Below are 15,126 nucleotides of genomic sequence, written 5' to 3' on the forward strand. Positions count from 1 at the left end.
ATTCTCCTCCTGTTGAGCCTTCAGATGAGACCACATCCTTGGCCAAAATCATGACTGTAGCCTCATGGAGAGACTCTGAGACAGAGGCAGACAGCTAAGGCATACCCAGGTTCCTGGCCCACAGAAACTGAGATAACAAATATTTGTTTAAAGCAACTAACCTTTGGAGTGCTTTGTTACCCACCAAGGGATAACCAATAAAAAGCCCCTAGCAGACCTATCAAGGAAAAATCTCACCCACAAAACTGAGACAGAGAAGGACTTCTACTCTGGCAGCAGTGGGAGAAATTTCACTGCATAATTCCTTCTTCCCCATTCCATCTCCAGAGGACACCATTTCTACTAAAGTAAGGGAACCTATGTAAGTAAAGAATTTAGGCCTATAACATACTACAAAAATGAAGCTGCCCTTCCAACAAAGCAGATTTTGACAAGGTCATTTTGACACAGTGGATATACTAATATGACTAGAGGGGTTGCAGGTGGGGTATGGATGTAGGGCAAGATACGGGGGGAAGGCTCAGAGATGGAGTTAGGGTACTTGCCTTACACATTACTGGAGAGGTATAGAGATCTGACATTTTCATGGTTTCTTTTGAAAACTAAGTAAAAATGTTCTTGGCACCAAAATGACTTTGTGAAAGTAGCCAGATCAAAGTGTCAGGTTCTGTCATAGGACTATTTTATTCAACCCTACTACATAAACACTGTTTGGACTCCACCTAGGCACTGAAGCCAGGAAGATTGCCGCTAATCTTCCTTTACACACACACACACACACACACACACACACACACGGCTCAGGAGTAGGTTTCCAGAATCCAACAGCACGGGGTCTAGAATGGAGTAAGTTTTAAGGCCATCACCTGTCACATGCCTGACTTGGATTTGGGCTGTTCTGATTCAGAGGCTGACAGCTGCCTGCCTAGAGACTGGCGCCCCACCAAAGACTCTGTGGAGCCCTGGTCATCATGGGGTCCTATGGGAGTTTTCCCTGAATTGCTCACCAATCCAGAACACAAGAACGCAGAAACTATTGTGCATGGTGGACCCAAAGAGTGCCTTTAATTTGGAATCGATCCTGTTTGTTTTCTGAAGCTCTCTGCATTGTTAAAGCCATTGATTTACCAACATTTAATAAAGAGGAGAATGTTTCCTAAACCTCTGCAAGGTTGTGTGGTCAGAGATGGGATTACGCACTGCTCAGCACCAAGAGATCGAACCAGATGCACTAGGGACGAGCCCTTCCAGTCCAACATCTCAGCCCTCGCGCTACTTTGCCTCTGTACCTCGGTTTCCTCCTGGGTAAAAATGAGGATTGAGGTCTGCTGCACCCTGTCTCCCTTCCAGCTCGAACCTCCTGCATGTCTCTGAAACCTCTTGGCACAGCAGTCCCCAGGAAATGGAATGTACTGAAGTTTCCTAATGTCCCACCAAATGAATTCCTTATGAGCCCGACTTCTGGGTTTGTACTCACCAAGAAAACACTGCAAGCCCTGACCTTCCAAAAACTCAGCTTGTTCTCATTCCCGGATGCGTTTTCAAAAGAGAAAAGCTAACTTTTGCCCTCTAGGGTGGGAAATGTGAAAGGCACAAGTGCAGAGCTCTGTGAATTGAGACCACAACAAACCCTGCCTGGGCATGGAGCCCACAGAGCGGGCGCTAAACAGCCTTTGCAACCACAGAGTGGATATTCTAGACGCAGAAGGTGCCCAGATGGGCCCTGCTTTCATTCTCTTGCCAACTGCCGTAAACCTGTTTCTGTCCCGTTGGAGCTGCAACGTGGAGCCAGAAATCTGGAAGAATTTAACACCCAGTCAATTCAGACACAGGAAAACATTGTTCAAAGTAAACACTGGAATCCCTCCCTCATCATCCAGGAATGTGGAGCCAGCAGGGTCTGAGCTCAGCAGCTTCTCAAAAAAGCCCCCCTGAGCTGCTTTGCTTTTGGGGCCACAGACAGGGAGGGCCAGGAGGGGCTCCACATGCTCCACACGCTGCCAAGACAGGGACGAGGCTAGGAGGTCAGTGCACGGGGCTTCTCCTCTCCCAGGGAAACATGGGCAGTGTTGTCCACAGCCTCCAGCTAAAGAACCCTCTGTTCCCCCACAGGACCCAGCTTGTGTGCAAAGGCCGCTGAACTTGTGAAAGCCCGAAGGAAACAGAGAGGGGCTCAGGACGCTGTGAGACTTTTCCATTTCCTTTGCCTCCCAGCAGGCCGTGAAAGAGTCACTTTTCCTTGAGGAAGAAAGAAGGCTCTGTGTGCAGGGCAAGGGTACAGTCCTTCTAACCAAAAGATGTGTGTGCTGCATGGGATGTGGCCACCGACATTCATTTCGCTTTTACTGGGACTTAACGAATTCCATCTCTCAATAGCCATATGCCAGGGTCCCACCCTGTTTCCTCTGGCTCTGGAGGGTGGAGAGGAAGGACTTGCTTTACCCAGGGGTCTATAAGGAATCTTGGAAAGACACTGCCCCTTAAATCACTTCTGTGTCACTGTGTCACCTTTGTGTCACTGTGTCCCTCTGCCTAAAATTCCACCTAAATTCCATTCATGAAGATGCAGGCCTGAACTGAATTGTTGGAAGATTTCTCACAGTCAGAGTGGAGGGGGGAACCTTCACATTAGGAACGTTCAAGGAGAAGAATGAAGAGAGTCCAAAGATGACCACTTGGCCACCAGAAGCTCTGAGTAGAGTCCTACTCAGTAGCGGGGCTGCTGGGCGGCAGCAGAGGCAAGTCGGGTCATTGTGAAGAGGCCCAAGAAACAAACCACTAAATGTCCAGCATGACAGTCTGTCTCATCCTGGCCTTCACTCCTGTATCCCCGTGACAGCCACGGTGTTCACCCATTCCTGAACCCTGAGGGATACACCACCGAAGGCTTATTAATCCACTCATTTAATCTGAATTATTGAGGGCCTCCTACTGAGCCAGGTGAGCAGGAGGGATACTGTCCCTGCTGTGGGGGAGCCTGTATAATCCAGACAGAGGCTGTCAAGGGGTGGTTCTGGGATCACCATCACCAGCAGCAGCAACACCAGGGAGTTTGTTGGAAATGCAATTCATTGGATCCCACCTTAGCCTACTGAACTAGAAGCTCTGCAGGCTGGGCCCAGCAATCTATTTTCACAAGCCTTCCTGGGGATTCTGTTGCTCATGAAAATTTAAGGACCATTGAGCAGGTCTGTCACTGCCTCACTTGGTAATAAAGAAAATCTGCAATTTTCATGATTTGCCTTGGGGAGGTCACAGAAATGGCGTGAGGGCTCCTATGCTCCTAGACTCAGAACAGCTATGCCAAACTGTGCTGTCATTTGGAAATTTTTGGTTCCAGTTTCAGGAACACTTTTTCTACCTCAGTTTGGCCACTGTTTCATGGTGATTTCTAAAACTTTTTTTGCAGAAGAGGCAGGAACCTCCCCTCCACTCATGAACAACAAGACAAATGGAGCTTCTTTTGACTTGTAGCACCCACCCCAACAGGGGCTCTGCCATCCTTTCTGAAGGTGGCTCTGAGAAGGCCATTTGCACTGTTGTCTTCAGGCCCCTCCCCACACTGTTCTCTCACTCTTGATAGGTGTCAAGGAACGTATACAGCCAGGCTTCTCTATTGAGTTGATTTCTTTTTTTTTCTTTTTTTTTTTTTTTTTTTTTGTGAGACAGAGTCTCGCTCTGTCACCTAGGCTGGAGTGCAGTGGCGCGATCGCAGCTTCCTGCAAGCTCCGCCTCCTGGATTCACGCCATTCTCCTGCCTCAGCCTCCTGAGTAGCTGGGACAACAGGCACCCGCCACCACGCCTGGCTAATTTTTTTTGTATTTTTAGTAGAGACAGGGTTTCACTGTGTTAGCCAGGATGGTCTCGATCTCCTGACCTCGTGATCCGCCCGCCTCGGCCTCCCAAAGTGCTGGGATTACAGGCATGAGCCACCGTGCCCAGCCTCTACTGAGTTCATTTCTAAAGAGATGCACCAACCAATGAGGTAGAATTCCATTCATTCACTCAGCAGATGACTTCCATGCTGCCATACGGAATGATCTCCTTTGCCTCTTCTGCTTATCTCATCTGACCTGTTGGCAAGGGAGCCAGCAGGCCCCTTTCTCCTGAGTCCCAGCACCTCATAGGCCTCTCTTCTCAGGCCCCATGCTGGCCCCTGCTCCTCTGCTCCACTTAGGGTGAGGGAGCCCCTGTCCCAGGCACCCTTCACGTCTTCATCTGCAAACTCATCACAGTGCCCCAACTCCCAAAAGTGTGTTTCTAGCCATGGGCTCTTCCCTGAACTGCACGCTCTTATATCCAATCCCTGCCAGACATCTCCTCAAAGATAGTTTATAGGTACCTCAACCTACCTCATTCAAACAGCTCCTGACACCTCTCTCTCCCACCACATTCAAAACCTGCTTCCCCACTGGCCTTCTTCCAGTTTGTTAACCAGCACCCCTAATGAACCTGTTGCCAAAAAACTAGGAATCTTCTTTTCCTCTTTCCCTCATCTTCAAAATCCAATTTATTATCAAATCATGTCAACTCAACCTGTAATTGTCTTAAATCCTTCGTTCTCTTTATTCTACAATTATGACAACTACTACTGCTGCTAATAATAATATAAAAATAACTCACACTATAGGTGTTTATGTTTTATACTTATTAACCCATTGAGCCTTCCCAGCAAACCTGTGCATTAAGTGCTGGATTATTCCCTCTTACAGAGGGTAAAATTGAGGCATATAAATGTTCAGTGACTTCCTGAAAGCCACACATCTAATACAGTGGAAGCAGAATTCCACGTGATCAAACATGTTGCCCCAGTGCTGCCCCCATATCCGCCTGGTTGCCCCCACAGCCTCCAAACTGGCCTCCCTGCTCCCACACTTGCCCCCTGTGTAATCTGTTTTGTCCACACAGCAGCCAGAGTGATCTTTCTAAAACCTGCACCAGTACACACCACTCCCCAACACAAACATCCCTTTCCAAGGGTTTCCTCAGAGCCCTTGGGATGAAATCCAAACTCCTTCCATGGCTGCCTCTGTCCACCTCTTAGATCTCTCTGTTTCTGTCTCTCTCCCTCCCTCCCCCGCCTTCCCCACCGCCAACCACCCTCCAGCCACAGTGTCCTCCTGTCAGTCCTCAAACTCACCAAACTCCAACCATTCCCTCCCTCCAGATTGACTTTCGCAGATTTTTACATAGCTGGTGTTTGATCATTTAAATCTTAGCTCAATGTTGCCTTCTCAGAAAGGCTTTTTCTAACTTCCTACTCTAAACTAGCCACTCAATCCAAATCTATCACATCACCTTGTTCTGTTTCCCCGACAGCACTTATTGCTATCTGAAATTATTTTACATTTGTTTGTTTATGATTTATTTTCTGCCTGCCCTCTTAGAACTTGAATTCCATGAAAGGAAGGAACTGTTCTGTCTTTTCTGTCATGTATATCCCAGGACCTAAAACTATAATACAGAGCTCTGTGCCAGGCATAGGGATAGCAAGGCGAAGGCAGCAGAATCCCTGCCCTTAAGGAAGTCGGCCTCTGCAGTTCCGCTACAGCATGCGGGCTGCCACAAGGACAGGAGTGATTCCTCACCCAGCCTAGGAATGCTGGGAAGACTTCCTGGGGTAGATGACTTGAGTTTATTTTATTTCAACATTTATTCTGGACCAGACCTGCCAGTTACAGTGACGGATGAGACCAGTGGTCTGCTTCCTTAGTACCAGTATCACCTAGAGAGCCTTTTAAAGCACAGACTCCTGGGTCTCATGCCCAGAGTTTCTAATTCTGGAGTAAGACCTGGAGTAAGCACCAGGAATCTGCATCTCTAACAGGTCTCCAGGTGAAGACCAGTGTCATCTAGGGACCACATTTTGAGAACCACCAGATTGGACCATTTTCTTGCCACAGATCACCATCAGTATGGCTCAGTGCAATGCTGTGCGCCATTTGCTTTGATAGGAATATAGGCTATATATAAATATAGGCTACAGATAAAAGGTATCAGTAGGTACTTCTTGGAGGAGCTGGAACCTAGGTTTCATTTTGAATAATAAGTAGGCATTACTGAAGGGATGAAAAACAGAAAAAACTTGAGGAAAAGGACAAAGTAGTATGTAGTCTTAAAAATTAAAATATATTTCAATATTGCTGAAGCATAAAGCATAAAACAAAGACTGGCCGAAGGTGAGACTGAAGTAAACAGCAGATTCGAGTCCCTTAAAAAATTAGTAGCAGGAGGCCAGGCTGCATAAAAGCCAGGTGAGCACAGCACACTTAGGGAACTGCAGAAATGGCTAATACAGAGGGTGCTCAAGGGTCAGGGGAGAGGTCTCTAGCAAGAAAAGATTCTAGGCCGGGCGTGGTCGTCACGCCTGTAATCCCAGCACTTTGGGAGGCCGAGGCAGGCAGATCACGAGGTCAGGAGATCGAGACCATCCTGACTAACACGGTGAAACCCAGTCTCTACTAAAAATACAAAAAATTAGCCAGCCGTGGTGGCGGGCACCTGTAGTCCCAGCTACTCGGGAGGCTGAGTCAGGAGAATGGCGTTAACCCAGGAGGCAGAGCTTGCAGTGAGCCGAGATCACACCACTGCACTCCAGCCTGGGCAACAGAGTGAGACTCCATCTCAAAAAAAAAAAAAAAAAAAAAAAAGATTCTAAAGAAAAGTAGAAGTCAAACCATGAAGGGACCCTACTTTGGGGCTGGGTCCTATGGGGAAACAGAGGGTTCCTTAGCTGGACACTGCAGACAGAATTGCCCATATATATGGGCATTCATTCAGAAGAATACTATACAGCAATGAAAAGGAACAGGCTACACCTATTGCAGCCACATGAATGAATCACACAAACATAATGCTGAGTGAAAGAAGCCAGGCACAAAAGAGTAAACATGAGTCGATTTACATAAAGTTCAAAAACAGGCAAAATATAGGGTTTAGAAATACATTTAGTGTAAAGCAAGTGTGTGACTTCCATAAATTCAGGAGAGTAGTGACCTCTGAGGATTAGAGAAAGGGGTTATCGATGGGAGAAGGAAGGAGGGAGGTTTCTAGAAGCTAGCAGTGTTGCATTTCTTGTCATGGGTGACTGTTACTGAGTGTTCACTTTAGACACATCACCAAGATGTAAGCTGTATGCCTCGCTTTGAGCACTTCATATTTCAAATTTGTTTTTTTAAAGATAAAGATATTAAGATAGTTGAGCAGGAGATGGGGGTGGGAGGAGGTGGACAGGAATGGAACAAAAACTGCTAGAAGGAGGGAAATGAAGATTGTCGAGATGACTGCAGGGCTATGCATGCGTGTGTGGGTGTGAGTGTGCCATTCTCTTCAGCATCAGTCAAGAGCCCTGGATTCAGGGTAAGGAGAGAAGATCAGGCGTGTTGGGAAACAATGGGGAAGTGGGTAGGGGAGGGCTAGGGTTTTTATGAGTTGGGCTGAAATTTTGGATCACTGGGCCGGGGTGGAGAACGCAAAGCCTGGAGATGTGCCACCAGGCAGCTGCACCTATCAAAGAAAGACTCCACCATCAAACACTGACTTTTAGGCTGTAATTAGCAAGTTGGCTCGTGTCTCTCTAAGGCCAAAAGTAAGTGTCTAAAACCAGAACAAAATCATTCTTTCCCATGTTCCTAAAAACCTTAAATACAAAGGTAAAATAAACATTTATTTTAGAAATAAACAATGAAAACTGAAAAGCAAAGTAGGCCAACTATTTCCCAGGCAGCAGGCCTGACCTGCTACAAATTCTTGGTGTCCGGTTTCAGCTAGGCACTCACTGTAACTTGGCCAAATTTTCCTCGTTGACTTTCCCGGCACATTCCATGCAGCTCCACCCTCTGTGAGCCATGAAGCTGCTCCCAGCTGCCCTCTCTGCGGTGGGCTCTCCACTCTCCACTGTGCCATGTGCCAGAGGCTATGCTAGCTGATTCCAACCTAAAGTATCTCCTCCTTAACACCGTCTTCTGAGCATCCTCCCGCCTGCCCGTCTGTCATCAGAGATGTGGGTGGCCTGAGGAAATGGGGTCTGAGGGAGCCCCAGAAGGTCCTAGGGAAGATACAAGGCTGGGGTCTGGCCAGGGATCAGTAGCTGGTGGGGAAGTCTGAGCTGAGACTAACAAGCTGGGTGAAATCAGCAAGGGTCCAAGTCAGGCGGGCAGAGGAGCCGGCAAAGTGATATTCAAAGGTCAAGCAAGTAACAGAGTCAGAAGTCAGACAGAGCACGGGGACCAGGAACCCAATGCCCTCTAGGAGTATGGCATGGAGGGGCAGACCTCGAATGTTGGCATTAGGCAGTGCTAGGTTCGAGTCTTGCTTCTGACCAACTGTGTGACCTTGGGTAACTTATTAACCTCTCTGGCCGCGTTTTTCTCTGGTGATGTGTCACTGAGCTTGGGGATAGGGCCAGGGATGGGGATGGAGATGCCAATGGGTAGATGTGGAGACCCCTACGCCAGGCAAGCCTTCAGGTTTGAGAGCTGATGCATCCATACTCCAAATAGACCTTGAGCCCGTCAAAGGCAGAGACCAGCACCTGCCCTAGGCTTGGCCCCTGGCACAAGTCAAAGGAGGAAATGATTAGCACGGGTCCATGAGCATTACATATCACCCTCACTGCAGCAGCGGCTGCCTTTTCCGAGCTCGCTTCTTCCCTTCCCACCCCTTGCTAGTTGGAGCTGATTCCTGAGAGGCAGCACTAGATGCTGGGCATTAGCAATCTGAGAGCTGGGTAACAAGTCCTGGGGTGGGGTTTCTGTGTCCTTTCCTGTGCCCTCACCCCAATCTCTGCTGGTGCACCTCCCTGGCAGCTTCCCTCTGCTCCCCTCTCCAGCACTTTTCCAAATGTCCCTCCTTATGCACCCTTCCCCTTCTGCTTTCAAACCTTGCCAAGTCTCCCCTCCTCTAAACAATTCTTCCATTGACCCCCAAGCTTCCGTTACTTGTATTTTGCTCCTTTTCTCTGCCAAAATCCCCCAGCGAATGGCCCATACCAGCGGTTGCTCTTTCACTCACTCCAGCCTGGCATCCACACTCGCAGCTCTGCTGACAGCCAGCACAGAAAGGAACCAGCAGGGATACGGGAACAGAGGCACAGACATCAAGCAGGGTTCAAGAAAGTGCAAGTGGGTGCAACACACACACACACCAACACACAGACACACACACCAACAGACACACCAACACACAGACACACGCAATACAGACACACACAACACAGACACACACCAACACACAGACACACATAACACAGACACACACCAACACAGACACACACCAATACAGACACACACAACACAGACACACACCAACACACAGACACACCAACACACAGATACAAACACAGACACACCAACACACACACACCAACACACAGACACACAACACACATACCAACACAGACACACCAACAGACACACACCAACACACAGACACACACAACAGACACACACCAACACACACAACACACACACCAACACAAACACACACCAACACCAGACACACCAACACACAGACACACACAACACAGACATGCACAACACAGACACATACCAACACCAGACACACCAACACAGACACACATAACACACACACCAACACACACACACAACACACACCAACACAGACATACACCAGTACCAGACACACCAACACACAGACACACATAACGGAGATACACATCAACACCAGACATACAAACACAGACACACACAACACAGACCCACACCAATACCAGACACACCAACACAAACACACACAACAAAGACACTTAGGTACAAACACACACACCAACACACAGACACACATACACCAGCACAGAGATACACACCAAGACATTCATACAACACAGACACACACGCACAAAGATACACACAACACACAAAACACACAAACACACAGTCATATCACAAACACGGAGACACATATGCCTACACATGCACAGACACGCATGCTAACGCCTTCCAATATGGCAGCCAAGGGGCTCTTGCTGTGGTCAGGGAAGAGGGGGAGGGAGCCTGGCCATCCACCGTGGGGAGGACATGCAGCGCGCATCGTGAGGACTCCAGACCCCTGAGGGTGGTAGCAGCAGGAGGGCAACAGAGGATCCTAGAGTTGCTGCACCTGGGGGCAGATCCAGTTGTTACAGGGCCTGAGCATTCTACAGCTGGTGGGGAAACCCTCTTTGTGCCCTGCACAAGTGGTAAGCACTTAGAAGACATCCCTGAAGGAGGGAGAGAAAGGGAGGGAGAGGGAGGGAAAGGGAGGGGGAGGGAGGGCAGAGCCTACCAGGAAGCCTGGAGGAAGCCTGCGACCTGGGACCCAGGTCAGCTCCCTGACCCAGGCCAGTGGGTGAACTGACAAGTGACAGAGTCTGGATTTGAACCCAGGGACTCGGCTGCCCATGTTCTTAACCTGCGTCACCTATCTGCCTCTCTCATACTGACTCAATGTAGCTCAAACAAGTGTAAAGCAAGAGCTTCCAGCACAAACAGTGGGCTTCGGGCTCAGGCCTCCAGAAACACTGCCTGGGGTGGGAGCCTGGGCGCTGGGCCAGCTTCCACCCAGATGGGGAGAAGGGAAGGGCTGCCTCATCTGCAGAAACGAGTCTCTTCTGTTCTCTTCTCCCCACCCCTATCTACACCAAGGTGCATTCATGGATCGCAAGGTTTCTTACTAATTTTTTGTTTCATTCACTGGTGTCTTTTATTCCTTGTTCTAAATTACTTTTTTTAATTTTTACTTTTATAGAGACAGTCTCACTGACACCCAGGCTGGAGTGCAGTGGCACGATCATGGCTCACTGCAGCCTCAAACTCCTGGGCTCACACAGACACACACTCAATACAGACACACACCTGGACTCAAGGGGCCCTCCTGCCTCAGCCTCCAGAGTAGCTGGGACTACAGGTGCACACCAATGCCCAGCTAATTTATTTTTATTTTTATTTTTGTAGAAACGGGGTCTTGCTATGTTGCCTAGGCTGGTCTTGAGTTCTCGGCCTCAAACAATCCTCCTGCCTCAGCCTCCTTAAGTGGTGGGATTACAAGCATGATTAATTATTTTTAAATAAGTGACTTGATTATTATTGTTTTGTAAAAATCCTCTTAGTCACCTTTGTCCCTATAGGTTTCTATAGGTGCTTAATAATTTTTTAAAGGTATTTACCAGTTCTGGCTAAACATTCCTTTGGTCCTGAGCTCTGTGGAGAGGTAATGCATCTGTGGGAACATCATCACCCTCATCCCCAACCCATCACCCCCAGGGGATGGGGGGGAACGGGGGTATATTTTGTGTGTGTGTGTTTTGCTTAAGTAGAGTGGTCAGCCCTGAGTGTACAATAGAATCACCTGGCTGTCATTATAGACATACCTGAGCTCAAGCCCTCTGCAGACAAAGTAAATCAGAATCCTAGGAATGGGACGAGCTTGTTGGCAAGGGTTGGGCATCAGTACGTTTTACAAAGTCCTGAGGGGATTGGGTGACCAGGATTGGGATCCACTTAAGGGAAGTAATGCTGGGGACTCTGGGGACCCTTTAATGGCAGGATTATTCTTTGATGAAGGACCTGACCTTCTCCTGGAAGTTGAGTGTGAGCCTTTTCACTTTCACCCTCGACTTCCCTCTCTGGGGACACCCAGTGTTCTGGCCCAGACTGTTACCTGAGAAGTTTCTGTGATTCCCCATCCTTCCTGCACTATCTTGGCTGTTCCCCTGCCCGGCGTTTATATTTTGTCTCCAGCTGTCCCCTGTGCTCTCAATCCCACTTCTCTTTGGCTCTCTCTTTGCTGCAGCTAACCATCCTCTTGCCCCTGCCCCAAAGTGACCCATGAGCCAGAAGTCAGGAGTGAAGGGGGGCACTGTGACATCAGAAGTTGCCATGCACCCCCTCCTGAATCTTCTGCCCTGCTCTCTTCCTCCTCTGCAGGCTCAGCGGTCACCAGCAATGCAGTCCTCAAACACGGACATTAGAGTGATTATTCCCACCCCCAAGAGTGAACACCTACTATGTGCTGGACCCTAGACCAAACACATACACACATAAAGATACACAACACACACACATGCACACACACACACCCCAACATGCATGACCTCATTTGAGATCTCTGATCATTTCAACAAGCAGTTACTCTGGCCCAGACGCAGCCAACTACAGAGATAGACAAGACCTGTGGTCTCTTTCCTTAGTGCCAGAATCTCCTAGAAGGTCTATTAAGACAGATTGCTGGGTCCCACTCCCAGGGTCTCTGATTCAGTATATGTGGGGTGGGGCCCAAGAACTTGCCTTTCTAACAAGCTCTCAGCCTTCTTCTGAAATAAAATCCTCTTTAGATAAGCTGGAGAGAGAATGGCTGTCACTAACAGGCTGTTGAGAATTAGCCTCCTTCTCCCCAACTCCATTGACCGGCCAGTGCTTGGCAATGGAGAGAGCGAGCAGCTTCTAACCTCCCCTGTGGCCCCAACCGTGAAAAAGTCCCCAAGATGCCAGGAGGACACAGTGCAGAGCAGGCTGTAAAGTCTGGCAGTTTAATTGCAGTCATCAACTCGGGGCAGCACCAGGAGACAGGCTGGACTTGCTCTCCCTGTGTTATCATCATGCCCTGTTGACAATCCTTTGAAATGTCTCTCCCTGTGTCTGTTCCTTCTGCTCCTCTCCACTCCCCCACCACCTCTCCAATCCCAGAGTTCAACCTGTCCAGCCAGGAATGTAAAGTCCCCTCACTTCTCTGCAACCACAGCAAGCACTTGAGCTTCCTCCAAATCATACTGACTCAATCATATATTTCCCACGATCTCCTTTTCTTCATAGTTCTCTATAATCTTCAGAGAGAGGTGCATTCTAGAAAAAGGCCAGGCAGAAAACACCTGTGTTTCAGCCTCAGTTTTATCATTTAGTTGTAAGAAAACATACATCAAGTGGATCCCCAACAAAAATCTACCTCTCCTCACTGCCCACGAGTCAGTACCTAGAGCCTCAGGCAGAGCCCTCATTGCTGCGGTTCTCAAAAAGCCTTTCTCTATCCTCCCCTCTCTCCAGGCTCTAGTTCCTCTTCAACTCCAGCCCTAAACTCCCTGAATTCATTCTCGCTCTGGAGCTCCCGTGTCAGCGGAGCCATGCCTTCAACCTTTCCATGGGCCCCTATTTTGTGGCTCAGTGTCCCTGAGCCCTGAGTATCTCCATTCAGTTCTTCAAACAAGTTCTAGACAAGGGAAGGATCTGAGCAAAGTCACGGAGGTGCGGGACAGCCTGGGCGTCTGGAAATGCTACGGGAAATGCACAGGTGAGGGGGATGGGGGGGAGTTGGGGTGGGCCAGTCTGACAAGGTTCTGCTCTCTCTCCCAGCAAGTCTGGGGAAGACAGTGGACATCTTTGAGTGCACAGGCCAGGTGTGAAGTGTAGCGGATGAGCAGGGGACCTCCCCTGTGGTTCCACAAGAACCTCCAAAGACTCACCCCAGAAGTCTTCTGCAGCTTGAAGTGACTCTCTGAGCTGCTTATACCTAGCGCTGATGTGCAATGGGCCAGGGCCCGGCAGGGAGCCAGACCCTCGGACTCGAGAAAGCCATTTGAGAGTGACATCAGCCCACCACCTGCTAGTGCGCACTCACAGTGTTTCCGGAAGCCATGATGCTAATCATGTCTGTTTCTGTGTTGTCCATGGCAAGACTCCAAGCCCAGAAAAGAAAATCTGTAGCCCAAGTTATTTTCCTCCCACAGGGCTTGCCTGGCCTTTGATTGTTGGCTTTGGGGAGGTGCATTTCTCCCTCCTCTGTGGGCAGCAAATTCCCCGTGAGTCAACAGATCCTGTATCTGGGCTCACCATGGGCTTCTACTGGCACTGAGAAGGGGCAAGCTGAGCAAACATGCAATGTGACCCCAGTGCTGACCAACCCAGAGATGCCCCATGGGACTCAGGGACTTGACCTCAGTGCTTCTGGGGTCCCTCAGTGTATCTTGCTGGCCTCAGCACTGGGCTGCTTGGTAACCTCCCCACAGGCAGGTACTAAGTGCAGCCAGCCCCTTCATTCAAGGCAGAATGAATTAAAAAGCTGGGGTTCCAGAGTTGGCTCCAGGTCACCCATGCACACACCCCATGCCAGGTACTGCTCTCAACTCTTCACACACTAGCTTATTCTGGGCTCAAAACTCCCAGGAATACCTTCGAGGCAGTTTCCACTACTCTAATCCCCATTTTACAAAGTGATGAAACTGAGGCACACAGTTCAGTAAGTTGCCCACGGATACACAATTCATAAGTAGAAAAATCAAAGTGCAAATTCCAGAACGTACACCACTAAGAAGGGGCCACGAGGCAGCTCTCCCCACCTGAGAATCCCCCTGAAATCCATGGTGAGCCTGCCCAGAGCCCCCACCCCTACCCAACTTACATTGGCTGCTCTTCCTTTTGCCCCAGAACCCCAAATAACTGGCCAAATGGACTCAGGTGTATCCCTTTGGCCTCCACGCTCAAGTTTTATATGAAAAAATAAAAAAACACAGAAAAAACTCAATGCGTTAGGTCAGTTTATTAACTCTCCCTCTTGGTCCCCAAATTGCCTTTCAGGGTGTTGAGCAGCTGCACACATCACCCCTTCCTCATGAGGTCCCCTTGGCCCTTTACCTCCAGCTGAGTAAGTCAAAGGAGGACATATGATCAAACCAGGTAGTCCACCGGCTGACCTCTGACCTACAGCCTAGAACAAAAAAGAGGACCTGGGCCAATCCAATTATCTCTCAGGAACGCAAAAGGAGGTAGGAAACGAACAGGCAATTGGCCTCAGAAGCCAAAGCACAGAGGATGCTCTGAGGAACACAAAGGCCACGAGAGGTCTTGACAAACCAAACTTCGATGCAAATTGGTCTATAAACTTCTTAAGTCTCTTTGCCTGTACAGTTTGCCCCTCCCTCTCCAATAATGTGTCCTTATCTGCAGAAGGAACTGAGTTTCCCATGGTCTGGACTGAACCGATTACATCTTCATAGTGTCCTTTAGCAAGCGCCTCTACCCCCTATAAAGCAGCTGTCATATCTAGAGCCTTGATCAGCTCTAGGTTTGCTTTCCATAAATGATGGTGTAAATATTTGGAGGTACAGAATACAGGGTTGTCTCTCCTTTTGCGGTGTT

The 15,126-nt window shown here is 48.9% G+C and overlaps 2 protein-coding genes and 1 long non-coding RNA gene across 4 annotated transcripts in view; all 3 read right to left on the reverse strand.

Annotated features, from left to right (window-relative positions):
- Window positions 1-11,821, reverse strand: part of CDRT4 (CMT1A duplicated region transcript 4) — a 31,607-nt gene extending 19,786 nt beyond the window's left edge. Inside the window, exon 1 of the mRNA NM_001204477.2 lies at window positions 11,660-11,821. The gene's annotated coding sequence lies outside the window, so the exon portion shown is untranslated. The remainder of the gene's footprint in view (window positions 1-11,659) is intronic.
- Window positions 1-15,126, reverse strand: part of TVP23C-CDRT4 (TVP23C-CDRT4 readthrough) — a 127,469-nt gene that overhangs the window by 19,786 nt on the left and 92,557 nt on the right. The window lies entirely within an intron of this gene.
- On the reverse strand, window positions 14,511-15,036 carry CDRT3 (CMT1A duplicated region transcript 3). The gene has a single exon (NR_146601.1). It is a non-coding gene; the product is annotated as a CMT1A duplicated region transcript 3 (long non-coding RNA).

Source organism: Homo sapiens, chromosome 17, assembly GCF_000001405.40.
Source record: "Homo sapiens chromosome 17, GRCh38.p14 Primary Assembly".
Taxonomy (NCBI): Eukaryota; Metazoa; Chordata; class Mammalia; order Primates; family Hominidae; genus Homo; species Homo sapiens.